This window comes from Homo sapiens, chromosome 1 (assembly GCF_000001405.40).
Source record: "Homo sapiens chromosome 1, GRCh38.p14 Primary Assembly".
NCBI classification, from domain to species: Eukaryota; Metazoa; Chordata; class Mammalia; order Primates; family Hominidae; genus Homo; species Homo sapiens.
Genome location: NC_000001.11, coordinates 57,839,858 through 57,858,387, shown reverse-complemented (window position 1 = coordinate 57,858,387; position 18,530 = coordinate 57,839,858). Strand labels below are relative to the sequence as shown.

The following is an 18,530-nucleotide window of genomic DNA, read 5'->3' as shown; positions in this document are numbered from 1 at the left end:
ACAAACAGTTGTCTTTTCCCTGCCATTAAGGGAGGAAGGTGTTGAATTCATGATGGTAATGGACATTCTTTAACCTACCAAGAAAGTTAGGGCATGCTATTTTATCATATGGAGCCATAATCTCCCAATAGTTTAAATAAGGAGGTGAACAGATAATTACTAAGGTTCTCTTAGATTCTAAAAAAAATACCCTTCCAAATGACATAATTGTCAACTAGAATCGAATGGGTGAGACAGTGGTAGATCTTGACACTTCCACAGAAGGAACCCATTCAACTCCTGAGTAACACAGTATATTTTGTGTGGCCTGCCTGGTTTTTGAAAAGTGACATAATTAAGAGTTAATAGACTCAGGATCTTGATCTTGTTCTCTCACTATTAGCTGTGTGTCAGTGAGTGAGTCACTTCCCCTCTCTAGGCTTCAGGGCTTTGTTTTGTTTTTTTTTTTTCTTTCTTTTTAAATTTTAAAAATAAGAACCTTGGACCAGATTACTTCTAAGGTCTTTTTTTTTTCTTTTTTCTTTTTTTTTTTTTGTATGAACATTCTATGATTCCATACTGATAAAACTGCAATACTTTAAAAATACTTATATTTTGACTACAATCTTAACTTTGTCACATCTTAAACATTTCTCTATAAAACCTAAGCCTAACCTCTAACATAGTACCTGATGCACAGCTAGTACTTAGTAAATAGTAGATGGTTGAATGGATAACTCCTGCCTACGTCCATCTTATATTTTCCACTCGTGGCAACTTTCTAACTGTGTGACCATTGACAAATTGCTTAATGTCTATAGCTCAGATTCATCATCTATAAAATAGAGGTAATAATAGTACCTGTCTCATAGAGTTGTTACAAGGATAAAATGAGTTATTACATGTAAAGTATCTACAACAGGGTCTGGCACACAGAAAGCTCTTTGTAAGTCTTAGCTATCATCCCCATCCCCATCATCACCATCATCATTACCATCATCTCTGCTTACTCTATTACTCTTCATACATGTATATTGTTTTCAGAATCTTCTCCAGATGCCAGTGTCATTTAGTCATTCAGAGATTACTTCCTTTCACTTTTGATGGTTAATCTTCTTTTGCCATATTAAAAATCAATCTAGCACTTTTTTCTCAGCACTTTGAGAAGTGAGTTTTTCCTTGTCTAACAATGCCCACTTGCCTTTTTTGTTTCTCTCACATTATTTCAAACTACTGTATCACATAGTTACTTTACTTCCAGGTGTCTCACTTCTTCTATACTCTTACCAACTTCTTTGGCTTGAACAAAGCCCTTCATTGCATCATCTCATTTCTGAGAGACACCACTAGTGATACAATGAACACTTTCCAAAGATGCTTGGGTTTCAGCTGAGTGGGGATCTCATCAGATATCTGCACAGGTCATGATCATCATGGCAGCATCCTTTTAATCAGTGAAAGTGTACTTATTGAGCATCTTATATGTGCCAGGCTCTGTTCTAGGTGCTAATAATTTCCGACCCTGAGTGTATCATTCACATCCCCATAGGTCCAGCCATCTGTTGAACACATCCCCATTGAGACCCTTCTGTTAGAGGTATAATCATTACTTTTAATTTATTTTTATTATTTATTTATTTATTTTGAGATGGATGCTCACTCTGCTGCCCAGGCTAGAGTGCAGTGGCATGATCTCGGCTCATGGCAGCCTCTACCTCCCAGGTTCAAGTGATTCTCGTGCCTCAGCCTCCCGTGTAGCTGAGATTACAGGTGCGCACCACCATCCCCAGCTAATTTTTTGTAATTTTAGTAGAGATGTGGTTTCATCATGTTGGCCAGGCTGGTCTCAAACTCCTGACCTAAGGTGACCTGCTCGCCTCGGCCTCCCAAAGTGCTGGGATTACAGGTGTGAGCCACTGCGCCTGGCACAATCATCACTTTTTATATGTGAACTTTTCATATGTACAGTAACTACTTTTATTATCAAGTGCTAGATGCTAGAAATAAAAAGCTGTGTGCAGCATACTTGTTGTCCTTGAATAGCTCTTCCTCTCTTAGGGAGCAGATCTATACAGGGATTGCAGCCCATCATGGTAAGGGCTCTAATAGAGGCACAGTGGCTGAAAAGAAGCATCCTGCTTCTCTGAGGCTACTTTTCTTAATCTATAAGGCGGGCATGATCTTACTCACCTCCTCAGACTCTTGTGAAGCAACCCCCCAGCTTCTTCTCTTTTCTAGCTACACTTCTCTTTTCTAGGCTCTCCAGGGGCCTCAGCCAGTCCCAGGGCTGTGGATACCGACTCTCTGCTGATAAGTCCCAGGCAGTAGCAGCTCAGACCCAAGTCTTGGTAATTATTCTCTACTCCTATGTTTCTTTCACATCGTATATTTATCTGACAGTAAATCCTGCCAACTCTATCATTAGAATATATTCTGATTCTTCCCTCTTCACATCCCATCTACTCTCATTCAAGCTAGCGTCTTGCCTCCTGGGACCTTTTCAGCAGCCTCCTAGGTCTCTATTCATTCACCCTTGTCAACCTGCAGTTGGTTCTCTCCAGAGCAGTCAAAGTAATAATTTCAAATTAACTCAGATCATGTCACTCCCCTTCTCAACCTCCTGTGGTCTCCATATTGTGCTTGGAACCCAAAGTGCTGTGCTGGCCCTACAAGACTATCATGGTCTGGCTTCCACCTACCACTTTTCTTCTTGTTCACTCTGAGCTACTGATTCCCTTATTCGTCTTCAAATGTGCCACCTCAGATGTGAAGACCTTTTCCCTCTTCCTCTGTTTCTTTGCCCCCAGGTATTGGTATGGCCCACCCTTCATTTCATTTCAGTCTCTGTCCCTATGTCCCTATATCAAAGACCGCTTTTCTAATACCCCAACCTGAAAGCACCATCACTATGTTCTACAAACTCACCTTCTTTAGTGCTCTTCATCACATCTATCTTTACCATCCATTATTAGAGTTGTTTATTAATTTGTGTATGAAATGATCCTTACCTAGAATGCCAGCTCCATGGGGGCAGGGACGTTGTCAGCTTTGTTCACTTCTATGTCCTCAGGGGGATATGGCCTAGGGTGGGCACTCAACAAGTATTTTTTGAATGAGTAAATGAATGAGGATTAAATAAGATCATATTTGGAAAACACCAAGCATCATGTGTTGAGTTGAGAATTGGTTACTTCTTGCTACCACTACCTCACTGCACCCCTCCCCCTCAGCTTCCTCCAGCCCTGCAGAAGTTGCTGTGCACTCATAGATGTCCTCACAGCCTTCTTTCTTTCAGATGAGAAATCAATCAAAATCCAGTCTCCTGCTGTCCCTTTTCTCAAGCTCATTCATTCTGAAATACACTGTCCTTCTGTGTTAGCAAGGCCAGGATATTTATTCCTGTGAGTTAAAAAGAAAAGAAAAGAAAAACTACGGAAAACCTAGTGACCATTTCATTTTACAATGAGTTGATAAGTTATTAATTTTTCTTTCATTTACTCTTGTCTTTGGAGATTTGTATCTAAGGTTCAAGCAGAATTAACCCACATGAAGAAGTCACATAAAAGGCCCTTTTCAGGGTGTCCTTGTTTTAAATTCCCTGTCTCTGGCATCATAACCGCCTTAGCCAAATCTTCCCCACATCTCCCAACACATAAATCTGCTCTCACCCATTAATGGAGCTCAGCACATTCACTCCTGTGCCAAGTTTAGTCTGCATATTAGAGATTGAGAAGCAACCAGACCACCAGCTTGCAAGCATCTGACTATTCCCAAGTGTGGTGGAAAGAGAAGGGCATTGGCAGCACAGACTTGGGCTCAAATCCAAGATTATCGTGTTCATGATCTTGGACAAATTGCTTACTGACTGGGACCCTCTGTTTTATCATCTGTAAACGATCTTCCTCAGGGTTGTTATGAAGATTAGAATGGAGGATCATTCAAAAAGTGTGTTACTTAGAGATTTGATGAATGCAAGTCTCACCCCCTTCCCATGTTGGGCTCTTCCTCTCACAATGGTGACATTCACACTCCCCCTTTCTGCAGAAACAGACCCATAGGCCCAGTAATGAGACCTTGAAGACATCCCATTCCTCTTCTCATGCTCATTCATTCTGAAATATACTGTTTTTCTGTTTTAGCAAGGCTGTAGTATTTATTCATCTGAGCTAAAATGAAAAGAAAAAAGTCAAGAAAGTGTAATTACCCTTAATTTTTAGACACAGTAGTACACTGAGTAATAATTATTTACTCAATTTGTGGAAGTGTCACAGTCTTAAAGTCTTAAGAGTTCCAGTATCATTTAAATTTTTTTAACTTAAAAACTACTTCAAAAGAACAGTCTATTTTTGTAGAAACAGTGCAGTATTTGCAGCATAGAGGCATTTAATATTTACTCTATATATGTGTTGAATGATGAATTAATAAATAAATGAAATAATGAATGAATAGATGTGTAATACAAGCAAAAACAGAGCTGCTCTGGTAAAAACAGATGCGGAGGTCTCAGAAGCCTGTATTCTGGGCCCTCCCTCAACCCAGAAAATAAACTTTGAAATGTGACAACCAGAACCTTCTCACCTCTTGTAACACAGTCTGGGTACCATTCATCTGGCCCAACACCATTCCTGTTGCAGACATATTTTTTTCTACAGGATTTTTGATGAGGTTATTATCTTGTTGCTTCTTGGGGAAAAAAATCAGTAAAGGGAACAACTCATTCTAGTTCTGGACAATTTGGAACTTTAAGAAATGTTTCATATTGAGACAAAATTGATCCATTGATTTTAGTTCACTTATTCATTAATTCATTTATTCGTTCATTTTATTAATTTTAAACACATGTTGAGCATCGATTCTGGGTCCTGCCTAAAGCTTCACTCTTACCATATACCTTTCTTTTTCATTTTAAATGCATTTCTTCTTATGGTGTCAATCACTGAAGATCAATGTAGATTTATACTGAAGGTTTTCTTGAGGAAAGGGAGAATCACATCACAAAATATACAGCAAAAATTTCTTAAAATGTGATTTCCAAATATTGAGCCTCTTGGACCTCTTCAGTATATCACCAACTTAGCTAACTACCTTCTCCTGTTAGCCACCTGGTTCTCTACCTTTCTTTCCCTGTTCATTCTTCTCCCAAATGGCTTTTTTTTTTTTTAAAGATAGCCCCAAACCCTTTCTTATGTATTTTGATCTAATAACCCTTTTCTAAGCTTCTACTTAATGCATCATCCTAACCACACAGAAGTTCTTCCTCATGGCCTGCCCTTCTTAGAATGGGTGGGAAGAAACAGATTGTAATTAATTATATGTTATTTTTAACCCTATGTGACAAAAACATTATAATTAATTATACATTTTTAACTATATTTGACAAAAAAAGGATAAACTGTGGTCCCAGCCCTCCAACAGTTAATTATCACACTTAGTATAGTGTAGAAAATATTAGAATTCACTCATTCAACAGATATCTATTGAGCACAAATTATGTGTCAATCACCTTTCTAGGTCCCTGAGGATACTGCTGTCACAAACAAAACAGTCAGTATTCTCTACCCTCATAGAGTTTCCATTCTGCAGGAGGGAGATAGAATGATAGAAAAATAAATAATAAGTGTAAGTGTGACAGATAATAATAAATGTAAATGAGAAACATAAAGCAGGGATGGATGCTGGGGCAGGAGGAGAGGTAGGGTTACCTCATTGCCCATAGAGCCATGTAGTGATTAAAATCTGGGACTGAGGGTTGACCTGGATTCCTGGGCTTATCAATGTGTGTCACATTATTCCTGAGGGCCTCAAGCAAGATGGCAGTGGTGAGATGTGGGGTGATGAGGAGGGTAGAAGTGAGGTCCATGGTTGGCCATCTCTGTTCTTCTGCCAGTGGTGATGTGGGCATTCACCACGGATGGTTCTCTCTGCATCCCAGAGCTCCTAGGATTCCTCCTGAATTTTCCCAGCAGAGGAAGGTGAGAAATATGTGGAGCTGTGGAAATACAGATGAGTGTTTAGAATGTAGGAAAGCTTTTGTACTTTCATACTTAGGTGCTATGAAGAATAGACAGTCATGTAAAAATGTGCCTGGACAAAAAAGGGTATGAAAAATGTTAATAAACTGAGGGAGAACCAAGCAAGGCCTGTTTGTCCAAGTTCTTCTTGGCCTCTCTGTGTGGCATTCCTTTCCCCCAGGGAACAGGGCAGGACACCTATCACATGAGGATCTTCAGGGGAAAAGGGAAAAGGTTAGGGAATGACCCTTCTAGGTTTCATGCTTTGGGAGAGAAATTCTAATTTATGTGACCCATCTCAGGGGAGAAAGAAGAGGAAGGGACAGGAGGGCCAGGGAAGGTCAGAAGGACCTTGTGCCTGAGACCCCCTCAGTCTCCTTCAGTTTGAAGTGCTCAGCACGCCAAGGCACTATGCTTTGGGGTATTGTGTTCTAAGCCCCAAGGGAGCAAAGAGGTGGGGAGAGGCAATTAGGAAAGACTCCTCAGAGTAGGAGACAACATAGGAGTTAGCCATTTGTGAATGACAGGGCAAAATGCATTCTGATGGCCAAAGGGAGCAGGAACCTAGGATGCAAAGTGAAATCAAGAGATACAACCAGAGAAACATAAGCTACTGTCATGAAGGAACTTGCATGTCATGAGGGATTGGAGCTTTCACACCACCAGCACTGGGAGAACATCAGAAGCCAGAGAATGAAATGCCCAGATCTTCAGAAAGACTCTTCTAATATCTATGTTTTGCAGGCAAAATGTCACATAGGAAGAATAGAAATGCTTCTTGCAGGAGCAAAGGCAGAGGGGAGTAGGGAAGGAGATGTGGAAACCCGCCCAGCCATCCAGTACAATCCCAGTACTCTTCTGCTCAGCAGCCCTGCAGCTATGCCAAGACTCCTCAGATAGCCTGAGGTCTTCTCTCCGCCAGACAAAACCTCTCAACTGCTAGAATCAGCCCACCTCAGAGGTGTGCTCTAGTGTGCTCTAGTATTTGGGGCTTTCACTGCTGGTTTGTGTCCTTTGTCTTCATTGTCCTATTGTCCTCTAGGCAGAAATCAACGTCAAAGTGAACAGGTGTTGCTAATGGTACTACAGACCAAGAATCAGGAAACAACAACTTCAAGGCCAAAATAATAACATTTTAATTGGAAATCTACTGCAAAGAGACTAACCTATGTAGATATATGCAAATCCTATGCAAATACACATGTGGTCTTTGTAACTATTGTCAGACCCTCGATTTGACCCATGGGAATTCTTAATGGTAGATGCTAGCATTCAGCTGAGGCTGAGGGCTGTTGACGAACAATTCTAGGTTTTACCTATGTTTAAACCATAATTAAGAAATATATTGATGGCAACCTGAAATTAATTAGCTTAACTGAATGTTGGAATTGATTGGGTCTTGAGAGAGCCTTGTCTCTGAAGCTAAGCCTTGGGGGGCTTGCAGGGGGTGGAAGGAAAACTGAACTTAAAAGCACCTAGCAGAAATGAAAAGGAATGGGCGAGGAGCCACTGAGAGCATTATTAAAGGGGAAAGATTCTTATCAGAGAGTTGAAAGAGGAATGCTTAAATTTCAAGTCACGCACAGCTGTTTTAGGTCAGACCACTCAGTCAAATGGGAAAAAAATGATGTTGGAAGGCAAGATTATGTGAGATACAGAGGGGGAGGCAGGCATTTGAGTGTCAGAGTGTATCACATTGAATGTGCCGTCACATAAGATGGAAGGGGTCCAGCCCGGCACTTGCAGGCCAGGCCTTGGGGCTCCCTCCAGAGCCCACAGGCCACTCCACAGGACATGGGAGGGGAGCCACAGCGACTAATGATCAGGAGTAAAGGATTTCCCCTATGAGGTGTGTCTTGTATTTTATTTCTTAGGCACTAATTATGTAAGCTATCAAGTTATATAATAAATGGTTTCATTTTCTCAGTTAAAAAAAAAAAAAAAACTACATTATCTGAAGTTACACAATCCTGAAATTAAATCTCACCTCTGCGCCTTTTTACAGCGTGTCCTTGGGCAAATTGCTTTGCATCTCTGAGCCTCGCTTTCTTTACTGGTCAGAGTACAGATCAAATCTAATGTGAAGGTAGAAAGGCACTAAGCCACTTTGGTACTGATTAATCCTTACCTTATGTTTGTGTGAGGTCCTATGATTTGTAAATTGTTGAGCTGAGGTGCAAATCTGAAGGCTTTGTTCCAAGCCTACATTCTTTCCATTAAAGGTTTCTGCTGTAAGACCCTCAGCCCCTCTGTCCTGGTTCTCTCCTTCTCTTCAGAGCAGCTTCTTGAGTTACTGTCCAGAGGCACTGTCTCCACTTCCTCCCCTCCCATTTTTTCCTGTCCAAGCCAGGTATCCCCACCTATGTCAACAGAGACCTAGCTGTTGAGTCCAATGTCAACCTTGCTGTCTGTATCTCACTTTCTCAGGACTATCGAGGGTCACTTCCCACATAAAATCTCTCCCTTACACATCTGTGACAATGGACTAATGATAAAAATAAACCAGGATACAAAACTTGAATTATGCTTCCCATTTTATTTTTATAATTATGTGCATACACATACATACACATCTCTATACAAAGGGAAAAGAAATTACTGTCAGGAAAAAAGCCAAAATGTGTTCAGATGTTAATTCTGGGCATTGCTGGGATTTTTCAAACTGTCCACAAAGGATATATTATTTTTAACTGGGAAAGATAAACATGGTTTTAAAAATGCTGCACATGCTAGGCTAGGAAGTCCATTAACCTGGGTCTCAACCTGCTCCTTAATGCCTCAAGCCCTGTCCCTAGAGAGGATCATTTCTTTTCTAAAAGTGGGAAAGTTTCTCAAGTTCTCCTTGCCTCCTGCATCCTGAGACTCTGTGAATCACGCCTTCAACTGCCAGATCCTATTGGATCTGAAATTCTGAAATTCTCAAGGACTGGAGAGCCTTCATTAGACAATGGCCTCTCTCTTTGCTTTATTTTGTTAGATTTCTCACTTCCTAGTTTGTATTTTCATTTACCAGGGTCTTGATATGGAGTTACTGTGAGCAATAAGGAGAGGCTGAAAGATCCAGATGGAGAATAAGAAAGGCAGGCAGAGATAGAGGCCAAGGAGCAGACAGGGCAGCACCTTCTTCATGCATTTGGTGTAGCAGTGAGGACCTCATACCTGACTCAGTGCTACTCTGGCCCTTCTGGTGCTTCTGCTGACCTTTTGTGAACATTCCTGGGGACATAGTGCTCCAGGGCTGGTATTTCAGAGAATGAACACCTTGGAGAAATGTAATTTCCCCTGTCTCAAGCATCCTGTCCCAAGTTTCAGCTGCAAGAGAGGCACATTTTCAAGAGAACAGCAGCCCACACTTGGAATATTACAGAAACAGAAGACTTGTTTTAAAAATTCCCTTGAAATAATATTTACCTTTCCACAAATATCGTAAGACATGACCTTCAATCTTGATGTAGCATTTTCTTCTTTCAGATGTGAGGATTACATCCTGGAGTGACGGGAATTCCAGGCCCTGTTAAGTGTCTAATCTCATCAGCACCCCCTTTGAAAAATAGGAATCATGTAGCTGCTCCCCATTACTAAACACTCACCTACCACCCTCCTGCCCATGACCACCACATGCAGCTTCAGCTCCAGCTCTAGACTAACCTGGATTTGGGGCAGTTCAGAATCAACTTAGGTTTCTTCAACCTTAGGTTATTTTGCTCCTGGTTTGGCTTGGACATTCCTGATCACTTCTGCATCATTGCTTGTGTTTGAGTCATTGCTCTTGGTAACTCATGTGATATAACAGCTACTTCTGTCTGGCCTAGACCTCTTCTTAACACAACCATCCCTGTCCCCAACTTCACAAGGCTGTGACTCAGTAGAAGTGATCCATCAAGATGTCCAAGTGGTTTTCTCCTTTGAGTTACTGATAAGTATTATATTACATTACTATATTTACCTGTGTAGTCCAGGATAAATCCCAGTTGATCATGATAATTCTTTAAATAAAGGATAAAATAGGTTTTCATATATTTGATTTAGAATTGTAGTATCTCATTTTTATGATTGGTTTACATGGTGTGTGTTCATGAGTGTGCATGTGCACATGTGTGCTATCTTGGTTAGGTTTAGATATCATTAGTGTCTAGATTCACTACATTGTGTTCGGAACTTATAGACTACACCTTTTGTCTATTCTGGTTCTTTTGAAGTTTTCTTTGTATCCTATATGATCACTTTGGATGGTCAATGTTTTAGAATACATGTCTTGAAAGGATATGCATTCTTTCTTTAAGGTTGTTTAACATAATACTTGAAAGGGGCAGGCTCTGGGGATCCCTGCCTTAGTTTCAAACCAGGCTTACTCTTACAGTGACAGTGCAACTGTTTTAAAATCTCAGGAAAATCAGTTAGCCTCCTTGTTCTTCAGTTTTCTTATCTTTAATACAGGGATAATAATCTCCTACTTTGTAATAGCCTTTCTCCAACATTAAATGAGGCAATAGTAAATATTTAGAACAATGCCTGGAGCATTGTAAGCACTCAATTAATATAGCTTTTAGTAATTTTTAAAAGATATATACATAACTTACTAATAATAGTATTCTATTTTTGTCTTTTTATTGTTCATTCAATATCAAGAAGGTTATTTCTATCATGATCTCTTTACATTTCTAAGAGTTTTTCTTTATATATTTTGACATTATGTAACAGCTCATTTCTTATTGTTTCTATCAATATAAAAATAACCTTCTTGGTCTCATATAATGCTTTTACCCTGAATTCTACTTTGAAATGTTCCCAATCACTGCTTTCTTTTTGTTTGTTTTGTATACTTGATAAATATTTGCCTAGCTTTCACCAATTCCCCTTTTCTCTCTCATTTTTCTTTTACCGTTTGTCTTTTGTAAGCAGCATATGGTTGAGTTTTGCTTTTAACCCAATCTGAAAGACTTTATTTTTTATTAGAAGAACTTAAACCATTTATATTTACTGTCATAACTGATATGTTTGGTCTTATTCCTGTCTTTTTGTTTTATGCTTTCTCTTCTTTATGCTTTCTTGGGACTTCCTTTGTTTTCCTTTTTTTTCTTCTATCTAGGCTATCTTATCTTTGTAGTTTTTTTTTTTCCTCCTGTGATTTAAAAGCTGAATGTCTGTTTTTAGCTAGTCCTGGGTAGAACTAAAAAAATCATCCCTGAGCTTATATAGTGACAGAAGTGTAATGGTAGGTAGGCAGCCAGGCCACTGAGCATGGAAGTCAATAAAATCGGTCTTAAACCTCAGAGGAATAGTGATGGCTGTTCCCTGAGCCACCTTATCACAGCTGTATAAAGCCCAAGCTCTGCAGCTCTGCATCATATTTCTGTGCTTCACAAGTGGGTCCCAGTCTGCTTATCTAGCCCCATCTCCTACAAGACTTAGTTAAGTACCATGTGCTTCAGGCATGTCACACTACCAACCATTTCCCAAACCAGACAGATTCTTAAGTAGGCATCTCCATATTGTGGTCCAGACTGTCTCCTTTTTGCCTGGAAAAACTCTTCAGGACCTAATGCAGATTGTTTGCGTGTCTGTGTGTGTGTGTGCACGCACGTGCACGTGTATGTGTTTCGTTCTCTTACTGTGCCATTCTTCCATAGATAGAATTATGCAGTAGAACTCACTGGACAAACCTGACTGGCTTTGAGTTCCAGTTTTGTTACTTGTAGTTCTAGATGCCCTGGAAAAAAAAACTGACATGAAATCAAAGTTTTCTCATTGGTACAATGGGAACAGTAATGTGTCTCCCTCAGAGTAAGGACTGAATAAAATAATGAAATCAACATGGAAAGACCTTAGCAGAGTAAACAGCACAGAGTAGGCTTTCAATGTATTTTTAATAAGTGAACAAAGGAGGGAAGAAATACAGGAGGGAGGAGAGGAAGCATTGATTTTTTTTTTTTTTTTTTTTTGATGGAGTCTTGCTCTGTCGCCCAGGCTGGAGTGCAGTGGCACAATCTCGGCTTACTGCAAGCTCTGCCTCCCGGGTTCACACCATTCTCCTGCCTCAGCCTCCTGAGTACATGGGACTACAGGTGCCTGCCACCACGCTCAGCTAATTTTTTGTATTTTTAGTGAGATGGGGTTTCACCATGTTAGCCAGGATGGTCTCGATCTCCTGACCTCGTGATCTGCCCACCTCGGCCTCCCAAAGTGCTGGGATTACAGGCTTGAGCCACCATGCCTGGCCACATTGAATTTTTAATTAAAAAAACCAAGTTCTGAAATGATTTGCTTTAGGAAGACTAAAGCTTATATTTCTGACCACTACTACCGGCTCATTTTCAATAACCCTCCCCCACACTCTTCCCTCTGTCTCTGGGGCAGAGTGGCAGTCATGTGATCCACAAAGCATTTCGTGTGCAGACAGCATCTTCATTTATATTGGCCTTCCTTGCAAAGGCCCATGGGCCTAGGGCAAATTTATTAAAGTGGAGTGTATTTATTCCATTTATTAAACAGGAATATTTGAAGGGTTTTCATTTAGAAGGGTGAGTTGATTTACTGTGTTTGGCTTTAGATGGCAGGGCTAAGTACAATGGGTAAAAGTTATAGGAAGGCAGATTTTAGCTCAACTTAAGATATATCAAAAGGGTTTTTGAAAGAGGATTTATTCATTTAATCATTTGACATATATTCATCAATCAGAATCAGAGAAGAGAGAATGACCTTTTATAGGGCTCTTCCTCTGTCTGGGACACTGTGGCAGGGTCTCTCACATTCTTTAATGTCGTGTACTTTTCTTTAATGTATAAGGAAGCTTATTATCCCCCATTATACAGATATCAAAAACTGAGTTTCCAAAAGGTTGTCACTTGCCCAAGCTGAACAATAGCTAGGATGTGACCTAGTCTGGCTTAAACGCAAATCTCTATTTTATGGAGAATTCATTCTCTTTCCACTTGACTGTGCTGTCTACCACAACAGTTAGAGGATCATATCTGCAAGACTACCAGAAATTGGATACAAGACTGAAAAATCCATCAGTTCACTTTTTCCCCATAATTCTTTCTCCTTTACCTCCCTCCTGTCTCTCTATCCTATCCCTGCCAACCCCCAAACCAGCCCCAACATGCAGTACAAAATTAAACACTTCACAGTTTAATCATCAGATTGTGAATGTTGTCAGACCACTTCTCCAAAGCATTGCTCATCACAGGGACACTTCCTCCCTCGCACAGCCTCACATGTAAGTGGATTCCTCATTCAGATTTAACTTAGAGGTTTTCTAAGGGCCATATCATGAATGAGACTGGGAAGAGAAGAGTAGCTCTTGCCTGATGCTATCTATGGGAAGATATACCAACCAGGGCCCTGTCAGGAAGCAGAATTAATCTCAGATGGTTCTGGGAAGTTACTTTAATGAAAGTACCCCTAACTCTAAACAGGGTTGAAGCATCAAGTAAGGGGTGGTAAAGCACCCAAGGCTGTCAATAGTGGGAAGCTATTGCCATTTCCAAGGCTGAAGGAGCTGGCGGGGGTGGAGGGGATGGGTAACTGTTACCTGGGCAGGTGGGAGTCAGAGCTATGAAGGAAGGGCTGCCAGGGACCTACATTCCTAGATGTATACAGCCTGAAGAAGGGGCACTAAGTCAGGAAGGGAGTAAAGAAGGGCCCCAGTATCTCTCTCTTCCTGTCCCTTGACCTCTCTGAGCTTCCCTTTGACAGAACCCAGCCAGGAACAAGAATGCAATGGAGCCCCATGAAGCTGTCCGTAGAACTTAGAGCAGGGCAGAGAAGGTACCAGAGAGAAAATAACCAGCTCATATGGGAATATGGGATAAGTGATATGGTGGGCAGAACTGAGGGAAAACCCATTGTGAATCACTCTGGCAGACGTCTTCCTGCTTCTCTGGACCCAATCTTCAGAAAGGAAGGGGTTAGAAAATTCTGTAATGATTTCTTCTTGAGGCAGCTGCCATTTACACTGCAGCCCCTGCCAAATGCCTTGCTGGTCTCAATATGTCTGAGTCTCTTAAAGGAATTCTTCTGGATAAGATTCATATTCATTCATGCATATAGGTTTACTATACATCATACTTTATTCTAAATACTGATAATAAAAAGAGGAAAAAGCAGGGCTGCTGTCCTGCAACCCATCATAATATACTAAGGGAAACAGATACATGAATCCGTTATTTCAGTGTGTTAGAAATAACATAAAAGTATGAATGCTGGTCTGAGGGATATCAGGTAGGCTGAGTAATCCTCCCTGCAGGAATTACAAAAGAAGATTTTGGGTCTTAAGGGATGAGGAGTTTTACTGTGGTAGACAAAGTCAGGACCATTCCTGGAATATGGCATGGCAAATGCCAAGTTATGTAAGATTGAAAAGAGATAGTGTGTTCAGGGAACAGCCAGAAAGTAATTGTGGCTGGAACATCAGGCACAGATTTTACAGTGAGTCATTAGGCTAGAGAACTTCCAGAATGGGTCAAACCTGGTCAAATTCTTGCTTCTTTCTATATACCACATCCTGAGCAAATGTTTCCAAAGAGGTCAAGTATTGCTGTTCCTGCTTGTTTCTTCCTACAGCCTTCTAAGAGAAAGCAAAGGAAAAGAGATCCCAGAGCCCAGGTGTGCAGCTGTTGGAGGAAAAGAGCCTGAAGGTACATAGGGGAAGCTCCTAGCTGTGCATGGGGGAAAGCCAGGGTAATTCATTTCAGCTGGTATTTCTCCAAAGCCTTCTGTATTCAAAGTTTTTTGGGAAAATTTCAACATAGGATATGTCCCTAACCTTAGGTAACTTCTAAATTGGTGAATCTGGGAAGGCTTCCTGGAAAAGACAAATTTTGGCTGATGTCTAAGAATAGAAGGAAGGAAACCAGCAAATATTGAATCCCTACTCTGTGACCAGATAATATAGCAGGTGCTTTTGATATGTTATTTCCCATAAGTCTCATGGTAACCCCTTGAGGTGGGTATCATTAGTCCCATTTTGCAGATAGGAAACTGAAGCTCAGAGAAGTGACTTGTCCAGAATCACCCAACTAGATAATAACCAAAGAAGAATTCAAACTTGACTGAGCATAAATCTAAAACCTACATTCTTGCTATTGTGTTATGTTTGCCTTCAAAGAACCATGCAAGGTGCACACAGTCAAGGGTAGACAAAAGAAAAAACCTTTTATTCTGTAAATGGATGCTGGGAGGACTTGGTGAAATAAGATGTGAATGGTCCCTGACTTACAGGGTTCAACTTATGATTTTTAGACTTTATGATGGTGCAAAAGTGATACACATTCAGTAGAAACCACACTTTGAGTTTTAAATGTTTATCTTTTTTCATTCTAGTGATATGTGGTATGATACTCTCTTATGATGCTGGGCAGTGGCAGTGAGCTGCAGCTCCCAGTCAACCAGGCAGTCACTAGGACAGACAACCCATACTGTGCTCTATAATATACTGTATTCAACATATCACATAAGATATTCAACACTTGATTATAAATAGACTTTGAGTTAGAGGATTTTGCCCAACTGTACACTAATATAAATGTTCTGAGCACACTTAAGGTACACTAAGTGATATGGTTTGGCTCTGTGTCCCCACCCAAATCTCATCTAGAATTGTAATCCTCACATGTGGAGGAAAGGACCTGGTGGGAGGTGATTGGATCATGCCAGTGGATTTCTCCCATGCTGTTCTTATGACAGTGAGTGAGTTCTAACAAGATCTGATGGTTTTAAAGTATGGCACATCCCCCCCTTGCTTGCCCTCTTTCCTGCCACCATGTGAAGAAGGTTCTTGCCTTACCTTTGCCTTCTGCCATGATTGTAAGTTTCCTGAGGCCTCCCCAGCCATTCAGAACTGTGAGCCAATTAGACTTTTTTTTTCATTCATAAATTACCCAGTCTCAGGTAGTTTCTTTGTAGCAGTGTAAAAATGGACTAGTATAGAAAATTGGTACTGAGAGAAGTGGGGCATTGCTATAAAGATACTTGAAAATGTGGAAGTGACTTTTGAACTAGGTAACGGACAGAGGTTGCAACAGTTTGGAGGGCTCAAAGAGAGGAAGATATGGGAATGTTTGGAACTTCCTAGAGACTCGTTGATTGGTTTTGACCAAAATGCTGATAGTGGTATGGATAATGAAGTCCAGGCTGAGGTGGTTTTAGATGGAGATGAAGAACTTACTGGGAACTGGAGTAAAGATAACTCTTGCTATGCATTAGCAAACAGACTTGCAGCATTTTTCCCTGCCCTAGAGCTCTATGGAACTTTGAACTTGAGAGAGATGATTTAGGGTATCTGGTGGAAGAAATTGCTAAGCAGCAAAGTGTTCAAGATGTAGCTTAGGTGCTCTTAACAGCACACACCCATATGTGTTCACAAAGAATTGGTCCAAAATTGGAACTTACGTTTAAAAAGGAAGCAGAGCATAAAGGTTTGGAAAATTTCTAGCCTGACCATGCAGTAGAAAAGAAAAACCCATTTTCTAGGGAGAAATTCAAGCTGCCTGCAGAAATTTACATAAGTAACAAGGAGCCAAATGTTAATTGCCAAGACAATGAGGAAAATGCCACCAAGGCATTTCAGAGATCTTCACAGCAGCCCCATTTCAGAGATCTTCACAGCATCCCCTCACATCACAAACCCAGAGGCCTAGGAGGGAAAAATGGTTTTGGGGACCAGGCCCAGGGCTCCGCTGCTCCATGCAGCCTCGAGATGTGGCACCCTGCATTCCAGCCACTCCAGCTCCAGCTGTGGCTAAAAGGGGCCAAGGTACAGCTCAGGCCATTGATTCAGAGGGTGCAAGCCCCAAGCCTTGGTGGCTTCCATGTGGTGTTAGGCCTGCAGGTGTGCAGAAGACAAGAGTTGAGCTTTAGGAGCCTTTGCCTCAAGATGTCCAGGCAGAAGTCTGCTGCAGGGGTGGAGCCCTCATGAAGAACTTCTACTAGGGTAATGCAGAGGGGAAATGTGGGATTGGAGCACCACACAGAGTCCTCACTGGGGCACTGCCTAGTGGAGCTGTGAGAAGACGGCCATCATCCTCCAGACCCCAGACTGGTAGATCCACCAACAGCTTTTACTATGCATATGGAAAAGCCACAGGCACTCAATGCCAGCCCATGAAAGCAGCTGCAGGAGTTGACCCTGCAGAGTCACAGAGGCAGAGGTGTCCAAGGCCATGGGAACCTACTTCTTGCATCAGTGTGTCTTGGATGTGAGACATGGGGTCAAAGGAGATTATTTTGGACCTTTAAGATTTAATGACTACCCTGTTGGGTTTTGGACTTGCATGGGGCCTGTAGCCCATTTGTTTTGGCCAGTTTCTCCCATCTACCCAATTCCTGTACCCCCATTGTATCTTGGAAGTAACTAACTTGCTTTTGATTTTACAGGCTCATAGGCAGAAGGAACTTGCCTTGTCTCAGATGAGACTTTGGACTTGGACTTTTGAGTTAATGCTGGAATGAGTTAAGACTTTGAGGGACTGTTGGGAAGGCATGATTGGTTTTTAAATGTGAGAAGGACATGAGATTTAGGAGGGGCCAGGGTGGAATGATATGGTTTGGTTCTGTGTCCCCACCCAAAAATCATCTTGAACTGTAATTTCATGTGTGGAGGGAGGGACCTGGTGGGAGGTGATTGGATCATGGGGGTGGATTTTCCCCATGCTATTCACATGATAGTGAGTTCTCATGAGATCTGATGGTTTTAAAGTGTGGCACTTGCCCCCCTTGCTCACTCTCTCTCCTGCTGCCATGTTAAGAAGGTTCTTGCTTCCCCTCTGCCTTCCACCATGATTATAAGTTTTCTGAGGCCTTCCCAGCCATGTGGAACTGTGAGTCAATTAAACTTCTTTTTTTTTCATAAATTACCCAGTCTCAAGTAGTTCTTTATGGCAGTGTGAAAATTGACTAATACCCTGGTTAGATATATTAAATGCATTTTTGACTTATTATATTTTCAACATATATCCTAAGTTCAGGAGCATCAGTACCCTCTTTTTTCACACTTCTATGCCTTTGGATATGCTGATCTCACAGTCTGGAATACACTCTGTCCCATCTCCATGACTCCCCATAGCTCTTGTTGCTTATACTTTTTCTATATCCTTTTAGCTTTAGCTCAGATATTCCTTCTGCTAGGAAGCCTTACACTGATTACATAGTATTAGATATACCTTAATTGTTTACCTCTCCCACCAGACACTGAGCTCCCTTCTAACATTTCTATGTGGCTTCAGCATCACCCACAAAATGCATCCTGTTGACTAAATAAATGCCTATCAGAGAAAGCCCATGGCATAACAGGTGTTTTATCAATAACAGTCTCCTATTTCTCCTCTTTCTGGAGGCAGAATTTTGAATAAAGACTCAAAGGCCAACAATAAAACAATTTTATATGAAATTAGCCTCTTCCAGGAAGTCTTGTCACATGGAAGGCTCCCTCCATGCCTGTCTCTTATTGAAAGAGGTAAGCACTGTGACACTGACTTTTTCCAAGCTCACCCTGCACAATGACACCCAAGTCCCCTTAACCTTACACAGAAAGGCTGGGAT

At 41.2% G+C, this 18,530-nt stretch overlaps 1 protein-coding gene across 4 annotated transcripts in view, besides 1 other annotated feature; it reads left to right on the top strand.

The window, feature by feature from the left end:
- The window catches only part of DAB1 (DAB adaptor protein 1), a 1,551,949-nt gene that overhangs the window by 688,339 nt on the left and 845,080 nt on the right, over positions 1 to 18,530 (top strand). The window lies entirely within an intron of this gene.
- Positions 16,766 to 16,928: a silencer, noted in NCBI's record as "fragment chr1:58307132-58307294 (GRCh37/hg19 assembly coordinates)". NCBI's record gives its function as "represses an EF-1alpha promoter that drives an FKBP-Casp9 reporter gene in an ReSE screen in HepG2 liver carcinoma cells {active_cell/tissue: HepG2}" and the evidence as "EXISTENCE:reporter gene assay evidence [ECO:0000049][PMID:32094911]".